Source organism: Homo sapiens, chromosome 3 (genome assembly GCF_000001405.40).
Source record: "Homo sapiens chromosome 3, GRCh38.p14 Primary Assembly".
NCBI lineage: Eukaryota > Metazoa > Chordata > Mammalia > Primates > Hominidae > Homo > Homo sapiens.
In genome coordinates this window covers 37322820-37349223 of record NC_000003.12, presented here as the reverse complement: position 1 = coordinate 37349223, position 26404 = coordinate 37322820, and the positions used below count along the sequence as shown (strand labels likewise).

At 36.7% G+C, this 26404-nt stretch overlaps 1 protein-coding gene and 1 pseudogene across 23 annotated transcripts in view, besides 1 other annotated feature; both read right to left on the bottom strand.

The window, feature by feature from the left end:
- The window catches only part of GOLGA4 (golgin A4), a 123609-nt gene that overhangs the window by 17656 nt on the left and 79549 nt on the right, over positions 1–26404 (bottom strand). For 19 of the 23 annotated variants that reach the window (XM_047447981.1, XM_047447980.1, XM_024453457.2 and 16 more), the window contains 8 exons: positions 21399–25636; positions 20687–20808; positions 20131–20261; positions 14058–14171; positions 12061–12081; positions 11490–11558; positions 9025–9100; positions 1928–2031 (listed from right to left, as the gene is read on the bottom strand). In XM_047447981.1, the coding sequence (XP_047303937.1) occupies positions 1928–2031; positions 9025–9100; positions 11490–11558; positions 12061–12081; positions 14058–14171; positions 20131–20261; positions 20687–20808; positions 21399–25636 (4875 nt within the window). The remainder of the gene's footprint in view (positions 1–1927; positions 2032–9024; positions 9101–11489; positions 11559–12060; positions 12082–14057; positions 14172–20130; positions 20262–20686; positions 20809–21398; positions 25637–26404) is intronic. The other 4 variants (XM_005265071.4, XM_017006184.2, XM_005265074.2 and 1 more) reach the window with 1 other exon arrangement.
- RNA5SP129 (RNA, 5S ribosomal pseudogene 129) lies at positions 7458–7575 on the bottom strand (annotated as a pseudogene).
- Positions 22500–22700: a silencer, noted in NCBI's record as "peak4611 fragment used in MPRA reporter construct". NCBI's record gives its function as "represses an SCP1 promoter by STARR-seq MPRAs in K562 erythroleukemia cells {active_cell/tissue: K562}" and the evidence as "EXISTENCE:reporter gene assay evidence [ECO:0000049][PMID:32103011]".

Sequence of the window (26404 nt, the reverse complement as noted above, 5' to 3'; positions counted from 1 at the left end):
AATGTCATCTTGCTATCTACCATGGTGATAAAGGGCCATGCTCAATAAATGTGCAGCAACTTAAAAGTAAATACCTAGTACCAATTTTCTATTTGCCTATAAAATGTGATGGCAGAATGATAGACTACTCTTCATTTTTAGAGCCAGAAAAGGAGAATCGACGCTGAAGATAAAGAGGAGAGAGAGCACTACTCCTCAACACAAATTCCCAGCCAGCTTATTAGATGGGGCTGCTTGTGCCATGGGACATCCCTTTCAGCTACTTCCCAAGTCACACTCTAAGATTAACTGCAGAGCCCTGAAGCACAAGCTTAGACTTGGATGAACTGGTACTGCCCCATAAGCCTCTTATGCTTATGCTTATGCTAGGTCTTTCTTCAGGGTAGTTAAGCTCCGTAGCTATCTCATCTCACATACATTCATAACCTTCAGAAGAAACAGGTTAAGGCAGTCTGTCTCTCCATTTTACAGATCAAGAAAAAGCTAAATAAATTATTTAGTAACAACCTTGCATCATAGCTTTAGATTCACTAATGAGCCAAGGTAGCTAAAGTTCTGAGAAGCTTTTTGTTTTTTAAAGATATGCCTCTCCTCCCCACCCCCAATACAATAACAAGGTAACTTTAAACTATCTATCCCACCTCAAATATCCCCCCACAGGGACATAATATACCCTGTATTTGAGGTGAGATAGTGTATGTCCCATAGGGACATAATAAGAGAAAGCTGTATTTCGTTAGTTTTGTTTTTAAAAGATAAGGAGAAAATTAGTTTTAGCTACCCTTGAACTTTTTGAAAAATGGCATTGAGGAAAAAAAAAGACACTGAATTGCTGTGATTTAATATCTCCCTTCTGTGATACCTGTTCACAATATTAGATATTACTTTAACTTGATATAATGAAATGTGATTTCTACAGATATTAAGGATTCAAATGACTTCTAACCCACTCCTGGTATTTAGCTGAATCTCCAATCTATACATTTATCATATTCTTTTAAGATATTTCCTTTTATAATATTATTTTAAGATATTTGCTTTTTAGGTTTTAAATATATTTGCCAAATCAGTGCTTGAACCTGCTTAGTATCCTATGACTCAGCAACTCCCACACACCCATACATTAAAACACTGATTGCTTTCGAGCATAGAAAATTCATTATCCCATTCTCAGCCACGGCACACAGACAATTAAAATTCCATGAAGGTAAAAAATGTCAAAAAAACAGAAACTGCTTTAAATGAAAAATTTTGTTTGAAGAAAGGCTCATGAATTTCCCTAGAAGCATTTAACTCAATTCAATATATATTTACCAAATGTCCAATAAGGCTCTTTTTAAAACACTGCAAGGGATACAAATAAGAATAAGACAAGACTCTACATTTAAGAACCTTACAATAAATGCAACATTCTAGAAAACAAATTAGCCAAGCATTATTACTTACATGGGGTAATTTTTAAATGATCGATATTCCACAAGTGCAGAAGGATTTTCTTACAGTAACTATAAAGCATAATGTTTCTAAATCTCTCTAGGTAGCTAATAATTATGACTATTTCCAATATTATCCATAATATCCTAAAGTCTCCTTGAAAATGAAATCTATTCTTCTAACTTAAAGATATGAAGAAGAAAAAAAGCCACATGGTTCACAAATTATTCTTATGTTAATGAAATTTTAATGTTTAGCGTTCAGTGTTACCCAATAGTATTTTCAAAATTAATGTTTTATAAATGTAATAAATATAAGCAAGATCCACCAATTCACTTTGTAAACTAAGAGCAATAAAATAATTATCTATTACCTACTATTAGCATGTCTGATTTGCTAATAGTAAACATATGGCATTCACATGTGTATTAAAAGTGGAACATATTTCTTTTAAAATTAAGCCACACACCAAATCACGAGACATGATTTATACCTTAGTCTCACGACCCATCATATACTCAAAAAGCACTTTTCGCAAATACTCAAATTCGGTAGGTTCTCCAAAGAGTGAGACATCCGTATGGTACAAATTGCCACCTGCCAAATAAAAAAATAGATCAAACTGTAAAGACAAAACCAGGTAAACTACTTATTACTTATAAAAATAGATTTAAAAAACAACCAATGGAACAAAGAGAGGCATGCTTTTATATTGTATCATATTGCATTGTATACACACATGCACACTAAACATTCCAATTACTATTTTATGCTTGGAAGCGAAAACAAGAATTACTATAACAATTTTATTTCTCACATCTTTTTCCTTCCTCCTCTTTCTTCTGGCCTTTTATTGTAATTGTACATTACTTTGGGTTTAGAATTTAAATAACCATTTGTTCTGTGAAAACAAACTGTGTTATGTGTCATTTACATATGTCTGATGAGCAGAATCTTAAAAGTCAGACAATACAAAGCACTGGTGAGGATGTGAAACAATGGAGACTCGTGTACTACTAGGAGAGGAAACTGAAAACAAGCACTACAGATGACAATTTGGCACTGCTTTTAAAACTTTGTAACATAGAAAACAAGCATATTATATGACACAGAAATTCAATTATTAGCAATATAACCTAGAGAAACACTTCATATGTACAGTAGGAGTCGATGTTTACTTACACTGTTTATAAAAGCAAAATCGCAACAACTAAAATGCCCACCAACAAGAGAATATACTGTGACATAAAGATATAATGTATTATTATTAAATTCAGCATTGAAAATGGTCAAATTATAGCTTCACACATTAGAATGAATCTCAAAATAATATTAGATAAAAAAAGTAATTTACATAGGACACATACAGTATGATGTCATTTCTATACAGCCCAAAACATATAAAACATTAAAATCGATTTTTTTTAAAGGAACTAGTTATGTTGTAATATAATAACAGCAGTTACTACTGGGAAACAACAGAGATATAAGGACTACAGAGCAGCACAAGAAGCCTCAAAAGAAATGGCAATGTTCTGGATGGTGGATTCTGAGGTGTTAAATAGCCTCCATACATTACATGTACATTACATGCACTCACATTTGGAATATTTTTTTAAGTGCATACTTTTAGAAGACTCAACTCACTCAAATTATACTTTGCAAGTATAGAGTTCTTAAGAACTAAATAATGAAAACACATTATTTCCCCTGAGTAATATATCCTTCTATATATCATATTTGAGTATTTTATTCCTCTAGATCTATACAAAACGCACCTCTTTTTCACTTTTCAGAAAATAAGCAATTTTATTAAATAGGCAGATTACTTTTTTTTTTTTTTGAGATGGAGTCTCGCTCTGTCGCCCAGGCTGGAGTGCAGTGGCGCGATGGTGGCTCACTGCAACCCCCGCCTCCCAGGTTCAAGTGATTGTCCTGCCTCAGCCTACCGAGCAGCTGAGATTACAGGTGTGCACCACCATGCCTGGCTAATTTTTGTATTTTTAGTAGAGACAGGGTTCCACCATGTTGGTCAGGCTGGTCTTGAACTCCGGACCTCATGATTCGCCTGCCTTGGCCTCCCAAAGTGCTGGGATAGCTATTTTCCAGGAGACAGAATTAATATTATTTTTCAATACTTGTGTCTCTTCTTGACTTCTCCCAAACAGTGGGTACAGAAGACTTTATAGCTCTTATTTCTGGTTTTAAGCAATTATGCGAGGAAATTAGCTATTGTTCAAATAAAGAGGCTTTCCAAATTGTCTACTCGTTGCCTCTAATGGGTCTTCCCAAATAACTTCGTCTAGGTATCACTCAGCATTTTAAAACCCACACTTTATCTGGGCCAAATTCCAAAGTGTATAACTGAAAAATCCACTTGACATTTAACACAATTTTAATTGTGTGTTACAGATAATTTTATAACATAAGCTTGCTTGGAGTTTCCTCAAATAATGCATAATGCCTTTAAAATATGCATTTAGTTAGAAAATAAATATTACATTTACAATCACATCTAAGAATAAACGTAATAAAAGGGGTGCAAGATTACTACTGAGAACAATCAACATTATTATTATTTTGAGACAGGGTCTCACTGTCACCCAGGATAGAATGCAATGGTGCAATCACAGCTCACTGCAGCTTCAACCTCCTGGATTCAAGTGATCCTCCCACCTCAGCCTCCCAAGTAGCTGGGACTACAGGTACATGTCACCATGCCTAGCTAACGTTTTTGTCTAGAGACAGGGTCCCACTACATTGTCCAGGTTAGTCTCAAACTCCTGGGCTCAAGTGATCCTCCCACCTTGGCCTCCCAAAGTGTTCAGACTATTGGCATGAGTCACTGTGCCCAGCCAAGAAACATTACTGACAGACATTAAATACCTACATAAATGTTGAGGTATATTGTGATTATGGGTTGGAGAATCAATACCATATAAATGCCAATTCTCTTTTTCTATAAATTAAATGCAAGCCTAATCAAAATCCTCCCAGGAATGTGTATGTATGCATTAAGTAACTTAACAAGATGACTTTAAAATTTCTATGGACATTCAAAGAGTTAAGAATAAACAATTCTTAAAGAAAAAGTGGGACAGCTTCCCCAGCCAGACATCAAGACTTATTATGAAGTGACAGTTATTAAGATAGTGAAGGTTAGGCATGGTGGCTCACTCCTGAAATCTCAGCACTTTGGGAAGCCAAGGCAGGAGGATCACTTGAGGCCAGGAGTTCAAGACTAGACTGGGCAACATAGAAAGACCTCATCTCTACCAAAAAAAAAAAAAAAAAAAAGACAGTGAGGTATTAGAGCAGGCATAGACAAACGGATCAATGAAACACACTAGAGGTAGCAGAAACAGATCTTCAAAAATACAGACTAACTGGCCAGGCACAGTGGCTCATGCCTATAGACCCAGCACTTTGGGAGGCCAAGGCGGGTGGATCACATGAGGTCAGGAGTTCGAGACCAGCCTGGCCAACATGGCGAAACCCCATCTCTACTAAAAATACAAAAATTAGCCAGGTGTGATGGTGTGCGCCTGTAATCCCAGCTACTTTAGAGGCTGAAACATGACAATCGCTTGAACCCAGGAGGCAGAGGTCCCAGTGAGCCAAGGCTACGCCACTACACTCCAGCCTGAATGACAGAGTGAGACACTGACCAGTTTCAGTTAGTCTGAAATGGGTAAACAGACAGAATTTATCCTGCTTTTCTTGTTTGAGTTGTACCTCAAGGTAACCATATAGATAATGTGGAAAAGTTCCTATTTATAGAAGAATTCCAATTAATATATGCACAAGAAATGGTGGAATTTTACTAACACCATTATGCAATCACTACTGAAGTAACAGATCAGGGAATTTACCAATGGATGCTAAAATCTGGCGAAAAGTGATGGATCACACCTGGAACTGGGTGACAGATCTTAAAATCGTAAATATGTCATGAACGTTTGATGTAAGACAAGAATTACACAACTTCCTTTATGAAGTACTATTGTCCATGCAAAGCTAAATCTAATCAAACCTAACTCTGCTCAAGCCTCTAGTTCTACCTACCAGGGAACAGAGGACTCCAGGGAGACAGAATCCAGAAAATTAAGAATGTGGTCCACTCTATATGACAAGTAAGTTGGTTTTCTCATCAAATAAATGATAAAAGCAAAGGTGGAGAAGGACCTGGAGTTCAAAAGAGACTTAAGTAATTTATCAATCAAATGCAATGTATGGGCACTGTTTGGCTCAGGAGTTCAAAACCAGCCTGGCCAGGCCGCGCGCAGCAGCTAACGTCTGTAATCCCAGCACTTTGGGAGGCCGAGGTGGGCAGATACCTGAGTTCAGGAGTTCAAAACCAGCCTGGCCAGGCTGGGCACGGTGGCTCACGTCTGTAATCCCAGCACTTTGGGAGGCCGAGGCAGGCGGATCACCCGAGGTCAGGAGTTTGAGACCAGCCTGACCAACATGGAGAAACCCCATCTCTACTAGAAATACAAAATTAGCCAGGCGTGGAGGCGCATGCCTATAATCCCAGCTACTCGGGAGGCTGAGGCAGGAGAATTGCTTGAACCCGGGAGGTGGAGGTTGCGGTGAGCTGAGATCGCGCCATTGCGCTCCAGCATGGGCAACAAGAACAAAACTCTGTCTTGAAAACAAACAAACAAACAAACAAAAAACCCAGCCTGGCCAACATGGTGAAACCCCATCTCTCCCAAAAATACAAAAATTAGCTGGGTGTGGAACCCTGTACTCCCAGCTAGTTGGGAAACTGAGGCAGAAGAATCGCTTGAACCCAGGAAGTGGAGGTTGCAGAGAGCTGAGATCATGCCACTGCACTTCAGCCTGGGCAACAGAGCGAGACTTCATCTCAAAAAAGAAAAAAAATTATATATCCAGCACTGATGAGGTGCTAGAGTGGTGAGAAATCTCACCCACTGCTGATGGAAGTGGAAATTACTACAAAAAATATAGCAAACATTTTGGCTTAACCTAATATGGGATATGCACAAAAATATTCATATCCTATGACTTAGCAATTCCATTCTTATATATTCTAGAGAAAAATTTCCACATGTCCTAGGAAAAATGAAAAAGAATGTACAAAATTAATATAATGGAAATGAACAACTACACACAATCTGGATAACTCTCAAACCTTATATTAAGCAAAAGAAACAGGTCATACAAGAATGCTTATGGTATGACTGAATTACATAAATTCACAAAGCAAACAAAATCTAAACAAAATATTGCTTGAAAATATAAATACAGGTGGTAAATGATAAAGAACAAGATAATGATTAAGAAAAGTCAGGGGAAACAGTAAAAATGATGAGAGGGATAAAGATATTGTAAAGGCAGACACACAGGGGCTTCTAAAGAACTAGGAATGTTTTATTTTGTACTGCAAGATAGGTGCTCAATTTACTCTTTATTTATTTTTGAGACAGAGTTGCACTCTGTTGCCCAGGCTGGAGTCCAGTGGTGTGATCTTGGCTCACTGCAACCCCAGCCTCCCAGGTTCAAGCGATTCTCCTGCCTCAGCTTCCCGAGTAGCTGAGATTACAGGTGTACGCCACCATACGCGGCTAATTTTTTGTATTTTTAGTGGAGATGGGGTTTTGCCATGTTGTCCAAGCTGGTCTCAAACTCCCGGCCTCAAGTGATCCACCCACTTTGGCCTCCCAAAGTGCTGGGATTACAGGCATGAGCCACCCCACCCGGCCTCATTTTACTCTTTAAAGAGGCAGCATGACGAAGAGATTAATGTACATACTGCACCACAATGCTTGGGTTTTTAAGAGGATTAAATGAGCAGATAAGCTATATTATCCTTGAGAAATCTGAGAAAAATAATGTTTTAAAAAAGACAAAAACGTGTTTGTAAGTGTTTAGCGCTTAGTATTATGAGTTAGCTATTAAATAAATTGTATATATGTGTTCATAAATATGAGAAAAAATTAATTATGTAGGAAATTCTTACATGGAAAATAACAAAAGGAATTGACACTATTCTCTATGCACTGCTGAGTATTGATTTAGTATAGTTCTCCCATCCAAGTAGTAACCAGGCCTGACCCTGCTTAACTTCTGAGATCAGATGAGATTGGGAGCATTCACGGTGGTATGGCTGTAGGCTGATTCAGTCTAGTTCTATGCTGAGATATTCAGTGACTTAGCTATAGTAAATAATCTTTGCAGCAAGAATCATCTCCGCAGTGAGCATAGGAAATTTCCAGGCTGGTTTTTACTTCTTTTTGAGGAGCTCCAGTTTGGACAGGATCCACAGCAAGTCCTTTAATTTAGTTAAAATTTGTGTAGTATTTTACATTATTTGATAGTAATGAGAGCTTTCAAAAACACAAAAGAAGAGAATGCCAAATGGTTTTTATGTCCTCATGCTTCCCATAGGAAAGCAGAAAGGTTTACAAAACATGTAGCAAAATAAAACTATTCTTAATACAGTGAGGTAATGAAATTGAACTTTAGAGAATGGATAAGTGTTATATAAGATTATTCAATGATCTTGATTATCTCAAGGGAATTACCACATAAAGACTCAAGCTCATCTTTAAAATCCTTTGGGCCAGGTGCAGTAGCTCATGCCTGTAATCCCTGCACTTTGGGAGGCAGGTGGATCATTTTTTTTTTTAGTGCAATGGCATGATCTTGGCTCACTGCAACCTCCACCTCCTGGGTTCAAGAGATTCCCCTGCCTCAGCCTCCCATGTAGCTGGGACTACAGGCGCATGCCACCATGCCCAGATAATGTTTTTTATTTTTAGTAGAGATGGGGTTTCACCATGTTGGCCAGGATGGTCTTGATCTCCTGACCTCATGATCCACCTGCCTCAGCCCCCCAAAGTGCTGGGATTACAGGCGTGAGCCACCACGCCCGCCAGGTTACTATCTTTCTTTCCTTAAAGTCAGCTGTTAAAAGGTAAAATATATTCATTGTAAAAAACAGATTAACCACATGGAATACTATTCAGCCTCCAAACAGAAGAAAACTCTGCCATTGGAACAACATGGATGAACCTGGAGGACATTATATTAAGTGGAATAAGCTAGGTGAAGAAAGGCAAATACCACATAATCTCACTTACATGTGGAATCTAAAAAGCTGAACTCAAGCCGGGTAAACTGGTGGTTATAAGGGACTGTGGGGGGTGGGAGATGCTGTCCAAAGGATACAAAATTTCAGTTCAATAAGGAAGAATAAGTTCAAGAGATCTATTGTAAAATACGGTTGACTACAGTTAATGTATTGTATTATTCCCCACCCAATTTATTGTATTCTTGAAAACTGTGAAAAGAGTAGATTTTAAAGTGTTCTCATCACACACACACAAAAAAGGTAGTATGTCAGGTAATGCACTTAGTTTAACCATTCCACAATGAATCTATAACTCAAAATAGCATGTTGCACACTATACATATATGCATTTGTCAATTAAGAAAAAATAAAATCATTAAAAATTTTAAAATGAGAAAAAAATATAAATTAGCAAAAACAAAAATAAAAATCATGCACAAATCCACCAATAAAAGATAACAGTTAATAACATGACACGAGATCATCCTTACCTTTGTAAGGTGTCCCCACAGTTGTTGCATATACATTCTTTTCATATTTCTTCAAACGGTCTTCTAAATTGTGAATCTAAAAATAACAAATAATCAGACCATATAAGATTCACAGGGAAACTGTATGTAAGAAAAAGAAAGATTGCTGTCACCACAAGGTTTTTTAATGCTGAAGACAGAATATAGGCAAATAAAATTAAGACAAATGGTTTAGAGCAAGAATTGTTTCTGCGAAAAAAAAAACTAAAACTAAAGATTTCTTAGATATGATACCAAAAGAACACAGAATAAAAGAAAAAAATACATAAATTACACTTTGCTAAAATTAGAAACTTTTGTACATCAACAGACACTATCAATGAAGTAAAAAGACAAGCTACAGAATGGGAGAAAATATTTGCAAATCAAATATCTGATAAGGGACTTGTCTCTAGTACATATAAAGAGCATTTACAACTCAACAAGACAATCCAACTAAAAAATGGACAAAGGACTTGAGTAGACATTGCTCTAAAGAAGACATATAAATGGCCAACAAGCCAATGAAAAGATGTTTCACATCACTAGTCACTGGAGAAATGCAAATTAAAACCACAACGAGGTATCACTTCATATTGACTAGGATGGCAATAATCAAAAAACTTGTTGGTGAGGATATGGAGACACTGGAACTCTTATACTTTGTTGATGGTAATGTAAAATAGTACAGCCACTGTAGAAAAGTTTGGCAGTTCCTCAAAAAGTTAAACATAGAATTACTGTATGATCCAGTAATTCCACTCCTGTGTATATACCCAAAAGAACTGGAAACAGGTGTTTAAACAAAAACCTGTATATCAATGTTTTTAGTAGCACTGTTCACTATAGGCAAAAGGAAACAACCCAAATGTCCATTAACTGATGAATGGATAAACAAAATGTAGTATATCCATACGATGGTATATTATTCAGCCATAACAAGAAATTAAATACTGATATATGCTATTAAGATGGATGAATCTTGAAACATCACGCTAAGCTGAAAAAAAGCCCGACACAGGCCGGGCACGGTGGCTCATGCCTGTAATCCCAGCACTTTGGGAGGCTGAGGCAGGCAGATCATGAGGTCAGGAGATCGAAACCATCCTGGCTAACATGGTGAAACCCCGTCTCTACTAAAAATACAAAAAAATTAGCCGGGCGTGGTGGCAGGCACCTGTAGTCCCAGCTACTCAGCAGGCTGAGGCAGGAGAATGGTGTGAATCCGGGAGGCGGAGCTTGCAGTGAGCCTAGATCGTGCCACTACACTCCAGCCTGGATGACAGAGACAGACTCCAACTCAAAAAAAAAAAAAAAAAAGCCTAACATAAAAGGTCAAGTATTGTTATTATTCCATTTATATGAAATACCCAGAATAGGCAAATCCATAGAGACAGGAAGCAGATTAGTGGTTGCTAGGTGTTACGGGGAGGAGGTAATGGGGAGTGACTGCTTAATGGGTATGGAGTTTCCTCTTGGGGTGATGAAATATTCTGGAACTGGGTAACAGTGATGGTTTCACAACACTGTAAATGAACTAAATGTCAATGAACTGTGTACTCTAAAATGATTAAAATGTTAACTTTTAATGTGTATATTCCCACAGTAAAAATAACTAATACAAAAACTGTTATGCTAGGGCAGTTTTCAAGATTTGATCTTAAGAATTTTAAAGCAGTAATCTTGAGAATAGATGGGAAAAGCTAAATCACTAGTGAAACAAAAAAATAAAGTCACATTGGGACCTATCTTTATGAAATTTTAGAAATATTATGAAAAATTTCAAACATATTCCAAGAAAATATAGTACAATTAATGCTCATATACCCATCCATCACTCAGTTCTAACAATTATCAAGATTTTTGTCTGTATGAATTTTAAAAGAACTGGGAAAATCCCAGGAGATTTAGCCTTCAAACTTAGCCTGCTGATTTGAGCCACTATTTCTCCCAGAGTTTAGAAAAAGACTTTACTAAAGATCATATACCACATATCCTGGTATGGGTGTACTGTGCATCCTTGAAGGTGTACACACATGGTCCTATTTAAACTGACTTACATATATTGTCCATCAATAATATATGGGAAAATTAAATTAGGACAATTAAACCACTTGGAAAAAGTACCAAAGATAGATGACTATTTTCTCTCCGATAAAAGCAAAAAATAACTTCTTTGTAGAACATAAATTACTATACATTATACGATCACAAATTGTTATAAAAAATGTTAAGCATTAAAAATAATATGATACAAATGTTCTTGCTTAAATATATATGATCATGAATTTAGAGAGAAAACCTCTAGTACCTTTGGATTTGGAAATAAAATTTCCTGGGTGTAAGACTGAAAAATTTCAAAGCCAACTATTTAAAAAGTAGCTGAGATCCAAGTACATATTAACGAAACTTTAGTTCAAAATAAAAGGTACCAATTAGGCCTGTACCTGTTCTCTGAACTCTTGCTCTTTCAATTTCGAATCACTGATTAAAGTCGTCTTCTGTGCTAGCTGTGTCTGAAAGAACAAAAAGTCAGATCTGAAATGCACATAGGTTTCATTATTGCCCAGACACATTTCTGCACTGCTTGGAAATTTTTGTTAGTCTTTTTAAGTTTTAACTTATAACACTGAATACCCCTAAAATGCATGACTTTCAGACAAATTCAAAGAATAACTAGTCTTGGCTGGGGCCTGTAATCCTAGCACTTTGGAAAGCCGAGGCAGGGGAACTGCCTGAGCTCAGGAGTTTGAGACCAGCCTGGCCAACATGGCAAAACCCCATCTCTACTAAAAATACAAAAATTAAAAAAAAAATTGGCCGGGCGTGGTGGCACATACCTGTAGTCCCAGCTATTTGGGAGACTAAGGCATGAGAATACCTGAACTCAGGAGGCAGAGGTTGCAGTGAGCCAAGATTGCATCACTGCACTCCAGCCTGGGCAACAGCCTGGGCAACAGAGTGAGAATCTGTCTCAAAGAAAAAAAAGAAAAAAAAAAAAAGAAGAACTAGCCTTACCTGTAGCTCCATAATTGTTACCTGAAAAAATGGAAAGAAAAAACATGAGTGTATACAATAATAGCTATAAGAAACAGTAAAACAAAGCAATATAAAGATATAAGGAAAAAGGAAGTCAGGGTTAAGAGTCTCAAGGGAGTGGTCAGACTTGAGGTAAGGCAACTTTAAATATGTGCTTCTAAACAAATGTTCTGTTTTGTTTTACAAAATATTATACTCTAAATACATATTGCAATTTAAGATATACAGAAGCACCAGAAGATGCTCCAGAAGGATACAAATTTATGAAGAATAAAGGAGAAAAAAAAATGTTGAGTAGAAATAAAAATTAAGTTTTCTTTCTCTCTCTTTCTCTCTTTCTTTCTCTTTCTCTTTCTCTCTCTCTCTCTTTCTCTCTTTCTTTTGCTCTTCTTGTTGCCCAGGGTGGAGTGCAATGGCACGATCTCGGCTCACTGCAACCTCCTTCCCGGGTTCAAGCGATTCTCCTGCCTCAGCCTCCCAAGTAGCTGGGACCACAGGCATGCGCCACCATGCCCAGCTAATTTTTTTTTTTTTTTGTATTTTTAGCAGAGATGGGGTTTCTCCATGTTGGTCAGGCTGGTCTCGAACTCCCGACCTCAGGTGATCTGCCCACCTCGGCCTCCCAAAGTGCTGGGATTACAGGCATGAGCTACCTCTCCCGGCCAAATTAAGGCTATTTTCTTACCTTTCTTAGGACACAAGGTAAAGGACTCAGAAGTCCTTCTTATTTCATAATGTTTCAATATTCTATGGCATCCTGACACAAGTTAAAATGTTACTATATGCAATATTAATACTTTGATACTAAGGAAACGCTCATGTTAGACAGTTAAATACATGTATTTTCTCAAAAGAAGTAATATATAATAGCACCTGGAATACTCAAGTCATGACTACATGACTAAATGGCAAAAAAAGAAAAAAAGAAAGTAAAGAAAATTTAAACAGAACTAACTTAGCTATTAAAGAAACAGAAAATGGTCCTCTCAGCTTGCTCAGTGCTTACACCTGACATATGCCTACCAAGTGACACAGAGTAGCAAAGCTCTTTATAGAGGCTCTTTCTCTGCACTGCGGGTAAGTCATCCATGTAACTGGTGGTGTAAAAAATTGTTACCTGGTAACTGACATTCTGTAACGAATCCTCTCCAGGATAAAGTCATAGTGACCACCCACTTTCCCATTACCCCCATGACTGGGCTATGAAAAGACCATCCTGGATGAGTGAGAACATTTTAGGCAGTAGAAACGTACAGTGCCAGCCTTCCCCAACTGTGGGTGTGTGCTGCTGAGGTGCACAGCAGGACAAGAAGCCATGGAGTAAACATGGTCTACCTTTCATAGTGTCAATTTTACTTAAGGATTAGGACTTAAAAAGAAAAAAAAAAAAAAAAGCTTAGATCTTCAGGCCAGTTCTCTTTGAATTCAGTCCAATTTTCCCAAATCATTGCATTGTATTTGCATCTGGTCCACTGGCCAAAACAAAGATAGAAATTGTTTTTCTTAATGATATACAACTAAAAACACCACTTTTATGTGACTACAACTAAGGATGTATTATAGAGTAGGATATAAAATTAACGTGAATTTTTAGCACAAAAATCCAAAAATCTAAAAGTATCACATTTACAATGGACCATTTTTAGCTATGCTCCAGGGTTATAAGATTCACTTTCCTCTGCTATTGTTTCCATGGAAAAGATGGAGAAGCACTGGTAATAACAAAATGCCTAGGCTTTGAGGTCTAGTAGATTTGGCTTAAATCCTCACCACAACACTTATTGTGTGAGCTTGAACATTTTATTTAATCTCTTTGAACATTTAGTTTATCTGTCTATAAAACGGAGGTAAAAATCTCAAAGGGTTTTCATTAGGATTAAATGAGATAAATATGTATGTATGTTAGTAGGCTAGTCAAATCACAGAAATGACAATGTTTTCAAGAAACATGTGCAGCAAACTCAAACTCCTCTCACATTATCATTGCCAGGGTTCTCCTCCTGCTCTAGCTTTTGCTGGTATTTCTTCTGCAGCTCCTCAAGTTGAGTCTGCAGGTCCCTTACTTTTGCAGTCATTTCTTCTTCACGAGCCTTTAGGATTTAAAAAAAAAGAAAAAAAGGAAAAGAAAAAAAAGAAGCATTAGTAAACAAACACATCAAAAAAGCACTCTGGAGAGGCAACATGGTATAGAGAAAACTACCTCTGTAGGGAAATAAACATTTAAGTTTTTGAGACACACACTACTGTTTTTATTTTAATTCATTATTGTGCTCTAAACACTTTCCTTCATGCCTCACTTTAAACTCCAAGCCCTTTCCAATGCTCATTATTCCTAGGATATCATTTTTCTCACCCTCACTCCCTCTCTCCTCATCCCAAAAAGCTCATCAAGCTGTTTATTTCCCCTTAAACTAGGGTTCCCAGGTTTAAGCAACAATTAGATATATAACAGAATTGTGATAGAACTACAATACGTATCCTGTGTTTTAAGACTTCAGCATTTTCTATATTGGAATTTGATTTCTAGAAAATAGTCATTAAAATAAAGTAGTAGGTATTTTTATACAGAGCACTACCCAACCAGATGGCAATTTACTGATCACAGAAGTTACGGGGTTTTCAGTTTTTCTCACCCTCTTTAGTTAGGCTGTGTAAATCAACAGATGGTCCTTTGTCCTAATTTGACAAGGCTGCACATCTCCTATGTATTTACCCCCACCAGTTGTTCTCTGAGGTAAAATGTTCTACTAAAATCTATTTTTGAAAAAAAAAATGAGTTACTGTCCAACGTGCTGGTAATCAATGTAATGACTTCCTTTGTCTCAAACTGCAAAAAACAGACGAGGCTGAATTAGAAAGAGCAATATGTGACTTACTGATCCAATATTCCTACTTATAAAATTTGGCATACAAATTGTCCTCTCTTGTCTTGACTGCCCTGGTAAAAGGCTGTTTTCCATCCTTACATTCCCTCATTTGTCTTGGTCATTGCCATGATTTATTGTACAGGGCAACCCAGACTTCTCTTTATTCTTATAAACCCTGCAATAACCTTTGTGCTAAAATAATATTTGGAATTGGAATATTGATCTGATTTGAGTAATGAGGGCAAGTGTTTGCTGAGCAAGAGACTTAACAGGAAAAATAACCACAAACAGGTATCTGATTTAATAGACATTGACTTACCAAAAACAGAAACACCATTCTCAAAAACAAATGCAAACATAGTTAGGCCCTATGGCACAAAATAAGGCAATGAATCATACGACATTTAGAAAATCTAATTTTAAATACCACTTGTCATGAAATTTTCTTAGACTTAATTGCAAAAACAAATCCCTTTTCTCAACATAAGTACAGCAGAGATCTCTACTAGATATCCTTAGATATCTTAGATATCTTCCCACCGAGGCACACGTGAATTTGGCCTCCACCTCTAAAACACCATCAACCGAAAATTGTTGTAAATGCATCACTGTTCTCTGTCTTGGTTTGTTGACATTTCTTGTATGGCTGTGTCAATGTGGTTTAGCCTTGTTTGAAAGAATAACCTCTATAGCTACTTATTTAGTCAGGCTCAGTTTCTAATATGACAATTAGCTATGTCTGACATTTCCTTTGACATCTGTGGGATACTAATCTAAAGCAAGCCCCCCCAATAATTAGAAAAGAATCTTTGATGTGTCATTTCTAATTTAAGGAACAGTTATGTAATTTCCTTTATAAAAGCCTTCTAGTCTTATTTTAAGATTTAAAAAAAAAGTATATTGTTGCTTTGAAGTAAAAACACTAAGAAAAACTAAGTTGAATCTTTATGTATATACATAACAGGTTATGTTTTGAAGACTAGTTATTATGCCAAAACAAAATCACTAAAATACAGTCAATGTTAAAAAGAAACCAATTTTGTATCTAATATAGCCTTACGAGCTACTCTGCAAGTGAGACTGCTCTGAGATTGGGATTAGGCTATTTGGTAAGCACCCCTACTTGTGAGTCTCCAACTTGCAAGTCACCATGCCCTTCTCCCAAATGAATTCTTCCCTGCCTACCATGTGTTGCCTCCTTCAAATTTATCAAGTGCTCGTATGTGCCAGGCACTGGGCCAGATTCTCACGACTAGAGAAGAACAAAATCTCCAGAGTGATGCTTATAGTCTAAGGGAGAGGACAGATTCATTAATACACTCCTACACGCATGTGTATATGACAAAAATCACATAAGTAACAAATATATATGAGTAACAAGGAACACAGATGCAATTAATTACATTTAAGAGGTTTCAAAAAAAAGAACAAGTGAAAAAACGACATAGAAAAGTATATTCAAAAAGCTACCTTTTGAGTAGGAAAGGGGAAAAAAATAAAAAATAAGAATATATTTCATTTTTGCTTGTTTACATAATGAAACACTGGAGTATAAGAAACTAATGGTTGCCGGTGGAGGGAGAAGAGGGAGAGGACACAGAACACAGGAGGAATGGGTACAATTTTCATTATACATGTATACCGCCTCCAAGAATACTTTTTAATATTATTTTAATCTTTAAGCCATGTGAATACATTTGATTCAAAATTTTTCTAAATAAAAATTAAATTTAAAAATTTTATTTAATTTTTTTTGTTGTTTTTCTTTTGAGACAGGGCCTCACTCTGCCACCCAGGCTGGAATGCAGAGGCACGTTCATAGCTCAGTGCAGCATTGACCTCCCAAGCTCAAGCAATCCTCCTGCCTCAGCCTCCCAAAGTGTTGGGATGACAGGCATAAGCCACTGGGCGTGGCCATGCACCACACCACCCCCGCTGCCCCGATCTTTTTTTAGCCAAAAGAGAGATGGTAACGCTTGCATTAACTTATGAAGCTTGAGAATGTGACTTTAGGCACACAGAAAAGCATGTACAAAGGAAACACACAGTGAAGAACAAGCTATGGTTGAGTTTGGCTGGAACACAGACCAAACTAGACGAGGTATCACTGTGACAATGGGAAACCACTGCACATATTTAGGAGGAGAAGTAATAAATCACACCTTTGTTTCCAGACAGAAAATAACTCTGACAGACAGATGACTATGTTAGGGAAAAAGGACTGCAGTAAGGGGACTAGGTAGGACATTAATACAACAGATCGGGCCAGATGAAAAAATGGTAGCACAGACTGTGGTGGCAGCAGTGGAGTTCAGAGGAGAGGAACAAGCAACATGATTCTCAGGATGTTTCAAACCATATCCTGTGAGCCCGTTATATGTCAGGTAATTGTGCTGGGGAGAGAAGCAGATTTAATGACAAAATAGGTACATTAATATATATGTGTATGGTGTTTAGAGACACAGGAAGTGGGAATTAAAGATGTCAAAAGTTTCCAGCTTCTTCAAATGGAGGAATGGTAAGAATGTCATTCAAGGTAGAAAAATGAAAGTGTCCCTGTGCTCAAACTTGCTATTAACAAATCACATAATTATTTTAATAGGTGACAAAAATGCAGCATTCTACAATGTCATCACTGAGACAAATCATAAATCTGATAATAGCTTTTAAGAAAGGGTAAAAAACACTACTACATAATACATACAAATCCCATATGAAACTCCAATCCCAGAAATTTTTAAATGGGAGAATCATAGAGAATATGGATTTGAATCAAAGCAATATGGTGTTTGCTGAGAATTGCTAATAGCCCTTTTTAGTAGTATTTGCATTTTTTAAAAAATTTCTTTGGGATAAAGTATATCTGGGGATGTCTGGATGGGGACTGGCTATTTAATTACAAAGTCAGCCCTAGTCCTAGCAGTTGAAAGTCTAAGGCTACACTATTCAATACAGCAGGCACTAGCTACCCTAAAACTGTGGCTAGTGAGAACTTGAAATGTTGCTATTCCAAATTGAGATGAAATGTAAAAAACACAGTGAATTTCAAAGAATTTATATGTATGTATATATTTTTAATATTGACTACATGTTGAAATGATAGTATTTTGGTTATATCGCATTGGTAGCATATATTATTAAAATTAAGTTCACCTGTTTCCTTTTTTTTTAAATGTGGCTACTAGAAAACTTTAAATTACAATATGGCTCATATTTGTGGCTTGCATTTTTTTTTTTTTTTTTTTGAGACGGAGTCTCACTCTGTCGCCCAGGCTGGAGTGCAGTGGCACAATCTCGGCTCACTGCAACTTCCACCTTCCAGGTTCAAGCGATTCTCCTGCCTCATCCTCCTCTGAGTAGCTGGGATTACAAGCACATGCCACCACACCTGGCTAATTTTTTTTATTTTTAGTAGAGATGGAGTTTCACCATGTTGGCCAGGCTGGTCTTGAACTCCTGACTTCAGGTGATCCACCCGCCTTGGCCTCCCAAAGTGCTGGAATTACAGGCATGAGCCACCGTGCCTGGCCGGCTTGCATTATATTTCCAGTGGCAGTGCTGGTCCAAGGCACAGGAAGGAACTTGGAAAAGAGTCCATGCCACTCCCTTGCCCACCCTCCACTTCCTGTCCACTTGCTGTACTACTCAAAGCCTGAAGCTTGAAGGACAATTTCATTAACTTCCCTAAAATACAGCAGATTTTTAAGGAGGAACCATGTCAAAGGGTATACGGTAACCTGTCTCTCTGTTCCCTCACCCTTCTACCTAAAAGGTCTGTCATGAGTCTAGAAAAGTCTACCATCTGCTACCCCACACATCCCGAGACAAAGAAATAGTTCACAAAAGGGAATTCTAGAGCTATGGCACAATTTACTCCCTGCAAATGAATCTCCCTGACTTAATTATCCATGATAAATAACTGCCTTCTCTAAGTTCCTTTCTTAGGAAGAAGTCTTTTTTTATAAAATGTGTAAAGCTAATGAAGAATCACTGCTCTACCACTATGTAGTTTTAGGGAAATTACTTAACTACACTGAACTGGCTTTTCCTTCTGAAAAACAAAAACAGAAAAAAAAAAAGTAGAACTAAACTAGCTTTACTGTATCTTCCAACACTCTCTAGGCATTCAAGAAATAATACTTTTTTTTTTTCATTTAGCACATATATCCTCTATGGAAGTATAAGAAAATGTGAAATTATTTAAATCTTTTCATAATGACATATAAAGCTCAAGAATTATAAAAGGTGGCATTTATAGGCATGTGTTATATCTTGGAATTCTAGCCATTTCAATTACATTTAAAATAATTATTAGAATCTGTTCCCGACTCAGACTTCTGCTGACATAGTCAGCTGAGGTATGATTCTTTGATTTATGAATTCTTAATCACCAAAAGATTCTTAGCATATAGTGAAATAAGGCTTAGAGCAACTACAGAATCTGTAACCCAACCAAGAACAATTTATATTGTATTACATTTGAAAACATTTTCAAATGTTAGTCCAAAGTACTAACTAGCATTTATGATTTATCTTCATGGTGTATCTTCATGGCTTATCTTATTTTGCTAATGGCAATGCATTAGTGGCATATTCTGTGAATTGCAACATGGCATTAGTAGAGTAAGTATTTTGAAATAACCTTCCACTAAATATAAAAGATTTGGCTTATGCATTCCATTTTTTCCCAGCTTTCTTCTCTTGAGACCAATCAACCTCCACACACTGGGTAGAGATAAGAGTAAAGTTGATTGTCCCTCCCAGAAAGATTCCAGCTAAGTTAAGCAGCCACATTTAAATACACACTCACTATCCCATTACTTAGACTTCACCGAAGCACAGGGTCTTGATTCTTAGTCTGGTTCCCCTCACAGTTCAGTCAGAATCTGTGAGGCAGATGGGAAAGAATCTATTCTTCCTTTTAGTATCTACTGTTGCTTCAATACTAGCAAGGGGACTGTGCTGCCTAGTTAGCAGAATCTCATCAGGAAACTACAATCCTGGCAGAAATCAACTCAACTTTATAAATCTGCATATAACAGTACTAATTTGAATAATATTGAGTCAAAAAAAAAAACCCTTTTCGTTCAAAAAACACATTTGAAAAGGAAATCTTTGGCACTACCATGAAATCTATTACAGCTAAATTTCAAAAGTGAGAGAGAAGAAATAAGGTACAAACATCAAGGATTTCTTCATATCTTTTGGCTGTTCGTTTTAGATCATCATCTTTCTCAGCAATTTTTTTAAGTAACTGATTTGTCTCTTCTTGATGGCTTTCTAAAAGTTCAGCCTCCACCTCCTGGGCCTTATCTAATAAATAAAAATGAACACACACAAGAAAACACATTAGTCAAGAGTTAATATTTGTATCTCAATTTCAGTAACAACTCTCATTCCAATTAATTTTGATGAAATTTAATTTTATATAAGCATTTTAAGATGTTTAATGAGACATCTAGCTCAACAGTGATCAAATGTATCCTCTCCCTGAGCAAAAGTGTCTTTACAAGGTAATTAATTAGCTAATACTTTCAGATTGTTTTACCTGCTCCCTCTCTCCTTAAGGTAAGTCATTGCCAAGCAGGGCAGGTTCCCATTAGAGAATGTTATTGGGCAAGGATTATTTCTTCCCCAGTTTAATGACTTAATGCACTTACCACCACTGCAAAAATGATAAGCTTAAATTATAGCCTCTGCTGATATAATTGTTCCTTATGGAACTTAATTTTACTTACTGATAGTTTCTTTTATGGTCATTTCCAGCTCTTGTTCCTTTTGTGCCAGCTGTGTATTAAACTCCCTCATCAGCTGTTTTAATGTGGAATTGTGCTTCAGTTCAAGATCTTCCTGCTCCTGTCTGAGTAATAAAAATGTACCGTTAACTGCTGCCACACAAAGAACAAGCTGCAAGGAGCTACCTGGTCTTTAAAACAGTGCATACAGTATGAGTTCATTGTATGAAAACATTTTTGAGAGAGAGAGAGAGAGAGAGTGTGAGAGTGAGTGTGTGTGTGTGTGTGTGTGTGTGTGTGTGTGTGTCCAGGTACATATCAACTATGATTACCTCTAAGTAGTGGTCCTGGGGACCAGAGAATTTTTGTTTTCCACTTTAATTTTTTTTTCAAAACACATCTATGTTATATAATAATAATGCTAATACTAAAAACAACAAAACAAAAAGAAAATAATTACTTGGATATGTCCCTAATAACCAGAATCTTATATGCAAGAAAAGGTTTTTCTCTCCTAAATGGACATGGAATAACACTGCCACTTGCCCTAAATTGTTTTTATTTCTCCTCATATTTAACATATTGGATTTATGTTTAATATTTTGGGTTGGTGAAACTTATCCAAATAATTTAAAATAACTGTATTAGGCACAAAAAAAGGAGACTTAATTAAGAAGGACTGCCATAAAAATATTCAAGCTGAAATAAAACTTACTTGATTTTCTCTTCCCTTTCTTGATCATATTCTTTCTTTAGTATTTCCAATTCTTGCTGATGCTCCTTTCTCAACATTCGAAGGTCTTTCTGCAATCTAACAATCTCCTTGCCCAGTTTCTGTTTCTCCCGTTCTGCCCCGGCTAATTTAAACTCCAGATCATTGTGCTGGGCTTCCATGTTACTAAGCAATTTGGGTTGGACCAAATGTGATTTGGACTTTTCTTCAGTGTTTTCTTCCAAAAGTTCTGTGGGTTTATTTCTTCCATCCATCTGTTGTAAAGCCTGTAATTTTTCATATTTTGAGGTCAACTCTTCCATTTCAACTCTATGTACTTCTTTCTGTCTTACTAAGCAGGAATCCAGCTCTTTTATCTTTTGCTCCAAAATCTGACAGGTTAGTTCCTTCTCCTGGAGGGTTTTCTGGACGTCGTCAAACACATTTTCCAAGTTTTGCTTTGCCTGTATGTTATTTTTACCTCCTTCTTTTTCCACATGCTGGGCTACTATCAAGGAATATTTCTTGTTTTTTTCTTCAAGCTCCTCTTGAAGATGACCTATCATACTTTGATCTTCATGTTGCTTTGCCTCAGCATGTTCTAGCTTTATTAAGCGCTCCTGGTATTGGCATCGCATTTCAAAATGAGAAGAAACTGTCTCTTCTTTTTCCTGCCCTACCCTCTGCAATAGCTTTTCTTTTTCAGTTAAGTTTCTTTGTAAAACACTGATTTTTTCTTCATATGTCTTCTGCACACAGCCTTGGGAATCTGCTTCTTCTTGTTCAGTATATGCTGCCACATTTTTTGCTGATCTGGGTACAATTAATGTTTCTGACTGTGAACTTTCCACTGACTTAAGTTTTTCTTCCAAGATGTGAACTTCCCTTTCTCTTTCCTGCAATTTTGTATTTAGCTCACTCAAATGGCTTTCTGTACCTTTTTTATACTGTTCTTCTTTCTCTTCCATTTGAGATAACAACTGCTTCTTAATGGCAGCAATTTTTTGTTCAGCTTTTCTCTTCAACTCTGCTAATTTTGCAGCACTTTCTGACTCAAGCCTATCTTCCAATGCCTTTAACTCCTCCTCTTTGCTTTTCACACTTAAATTCACATGTTCTAATTCTTTCTTCTTAGTTTCAAGTTCAGCTTTCATGGAATAAACTTGGTTTTCAAGTGTTAAGATTTTTTCTTCAGCTTCTTTAACCCTGTTGTCCTTTTCTTCTCCTAACTCTTGAAAATGTTGAAGTTTCTGAACCAATTCTTTGTGTTCAATATCCTTTTGTTGATTGTAATTTTTAAGAACTTCATTTAAGGACTCTATTTCAATAGTTTTCTGGGTAATATGGTCCTCTAATTCCATAATTCTTGCTGTTTGAGACTTTAACTCTGTTTCTAAATTAGACTCCTTTTTCTCCATCTTGCTCTTGTCGTCTTCCATTTCACCCTTTAAACAATCAAATCTTTTATTTTGCTGATCAAGCTCTTCCTTCAATAAATTTATCTGCTCATCCTTTTCATAAGCTTCCTTTGATTTTAACTCAAGCTGGATCTGCAATTCTTTAACAGTGTTTTGATGCTGTGTAAATCTTGACTGTGCTTTCTTCTTCCATTCTGAGAATTTATTGGACCAGTCATCTACCTGCTCAAGAGCAGAAATTTTCTCTTTACTCAGAGTGTCAACTTTAAAAGATAAATCTTGCACCTGATCCAGCAATTCACATTTTTCTTCATCATACTGCTTTCTTAGTGATGAAATGGCTGCTTCTTTTTCGGATAGGCTGATGCTATTTTGAAGCTGAACATTCAAATCAGTTAGTTGTTTACTAAGACTGCTAATCTCAACTTTTTTTTCTTTAAGCTCTTCTTTCATCAATGTGACAGCATTGATGTTTTCAGATAACTCTTTCTTCAACTGTGTTATACAAGACTCCTTTTCAGAAGCAGCCTGTTGCTGATTGCCTCCTTCCTTCTGTAAGGCTTCTTTTTCTGTTACAAGACTTTCAATATCAGCCTTCATGCTCTTAATTTGATTTTCTTTTTCTTCTAACTGATGAGTAGCCTGTTGAAAAGAAATATTTAGTGTATTTTGCTCCTCTGTCAACTGTCTAAGTTGTGCTTCTAATTCAGAAACTGTGCAAGTTTTAATTAACAGTGCCTCCTTAACTTTAGTTGTACGGTGCTGACAATGAGAAATCCTAGAAAGAATGGCATTAGTTTTACTACTACTAATGTTGATTAGCTCATTTGTTTTAGCTTCTAATAAGGCTTCGGTTTTCTTACAGCAAATATCTAGCTGAATCGCTAGTTCCTCAGACAGTTTTTTAAATTCCAAGCTCTTGTCCTCTAGGCTTTTGTTACTTTTTTCATGTGAAGATTTCAAACTCTGGAATTCTTCATCTGTGGTTTTCAACTTGCTAGTCAACTCAGAAACCTTCCGCTTATCTTCTTCTGCCAGCATCTTCAGTTCAACTAGCTGCTCTTGAAGAAAAGTATTTTCCTTCAGAGACTTATTCAAGTCAACCTCTAGCTTTTCAAGATGAGCTTTCAGTTTAGTTTCATCTTGTGCAAGAGAATTCACATGGGCAGACTTCTGCTTTAACTGTTCCTGTAATTCATTTAATGTTGTATCCTGCTTAACACCTTCTTCCTTCAGCCATGTTATTTCCTTGTTCATCTCTTCTTTTTCACACCCAAATAGGAGGATCTTTTGTTTCAGTTCTGCTACCTCTTGTTCTTTTTCCTGTAATTGGATTTCATGTATTTCCTGAAGTTCTTCAGCTTGCTGATTAAGTTTCTTTTCCCAGATTGATATGACATCATTGAGTTCTCGTCGATGAACCTCAGTAAGACTTTCTATTTGTTCTTTTTGGTTTGTTTCCAGTCTTGACACTGCATCACTGATTCCAGCTGAGTTAGCCTGTGCCATTTCCAGCATTTTGGCATTAAACTGTTTTTCTTTCTGACTAAGCTCTAGAGCAGTATTTTCAAGCTCTTTCTTAAGTTTGGCTTCCTGATCCAGTAATTTTTTCTTTAACGTTTCTTGCATCTCCTTTGCTTTCTGCTTAACTTTTTCCATCTTTTTTTCTTGGTTTTTAAATTTGGTTTCATATTCCTCATTCAAAATATGAATACTGTCCTCCTTGGCTGACAATTTCTGTGTGAGTATCTCAATTTCTTTCTTCTGTCCTTCTCTCATTTGTAAAATCATATTTTCCTTTTCCACCAAGATTTGCTTTGTCTGTTCCTGTTCTTTGTTACCATCTTCAAGTTTGGACTCATAGACTTGGGTTAAAGATTTTACTTTTTGCTCCATTTCACTATTTTGTTTTTCAAGTTGCTGCATTAAGTCCTGCACCTGGATTTTGTGAGCATCTAACTCAGTACAAACATCTTTCTTTTGTGCTTCAACTTCAGCAACCTGTTTGGTAAGAAGAATTCTTTCTGTTTCCAAATCCAACAACTTCTGCTGCAATTGGGCCAACTGTTCCTCATATGCTTTTGTCTGCTCATGTGTGGCACTCTGGTAAGACTGAAAAACGTCCAGCTTAGCAGATGCCTGCTGGAGTTCCCCTTCAGACCTTTTAATATCTGCCTCTAAATTTTCTACATGAGCCTGATGCTCTTTCAAATGCTTGTCCCTTTCCTTCAAGAGAAGCTCAAGTTGATTAATTTGATCTTTTAATGCCTTCTCAGTCCTCTGGATAGATACCTCGTGTTCTTTAATGATACTGTCAACTTGCTGCTGGTGATGATTTTTCTGTTCATCCATCTTGGCCTCTAATTCCTGCTTCATTTTATCTGTTTGATCTTTCAGAACAGAAAGTTCCTCTTCTAGTTTGTGACGGGCTTTTAATACTTCTGACAGTTCAGAAGATAATGATTCTAGTTCTGTTTGCTTCACATCAAGCTTTTCTAAAGTCTTTTCATTCATTTCTTCTATGTGGGCCTGGAAGATAATCTCTTTGTCTTTCAACAATGTTTCTTTTTCTTGTTCACACTTTTCCCTAAGTTTTTCCATTTCAGTCTGATATTGTTGCTTTAAGACTTGGAGTTTTTCAGTCCAAAGGGCATCCTGCTGATGCTTAAGGCTTTCCAATTCTGTCTTGTGTTTTTCAACCATGACTGTAATCTCCTTATTGTGCTTATTTTTTTCAGCTTCCAGATGAACAGCCAAATCTTTTGACTGATTTTTGTTTTCTTGTAAGCTTTTTTCCAAAGAACTTTCCAATTCAAGAATTCTCTGTTAATTAAAAACAGATGCATTTTTATTAAAGTACGTACTTGTCTACTAACAATGATACACAGACATGATGTCTACCACCTACCTGAAGATCAAAATTATCATACCAAACACTAGAAAAGACAAAGAATCTATGCTCAATTACTAAAGGAATCATATAACAAAGAAAAGATTATGGCAAGGCACAGTCCAACAGTTTGGGAGGCCGAGGTGAGCAGATCACTTGAAGCCGGGAGTTTGAGACCCAGCCTGACCAACATGGCAAAGCCCTGTCTCTACCAAAACATACAAAAATTAGCCGGGCATGGTAGCATGCGGCTGTAGTCCCAGCTACTCGGGAGGCTGAGGTTGGGGAATCCCTTGAACCCAGGAGGCAGAGGCTGCAGTGAGCCGAGATCATGCCACTACACTCCAGCCTGGGCAACAAAGCGAGACTCCTCTGTCTTGGAAAAAAAAAAAAAAAAAAAAAAAGACAAAAGGAAAGAAAAGATTACATGTTTAACCCAACTCATACTTTCAGATTCTTTCTATTTACTTGGGGAACCTTTTCAGCTACCTACATTTTCAATAATACTTTAACTGGATAGTAAAAAGAAATAAACCATAAAATTCATAACAGTAACTTCTGGTAGGAAGATTGGGGTTTTTTCCAATTTTTAAGGCCTACATAGTATTTTATTATTCTCATAATTTTAGAAGAAAAAGAATGTATGATTTTTCCACCTTCAAAATTATCATTTGGAAGGTTCTTTTTTTTTTCATAAAGAA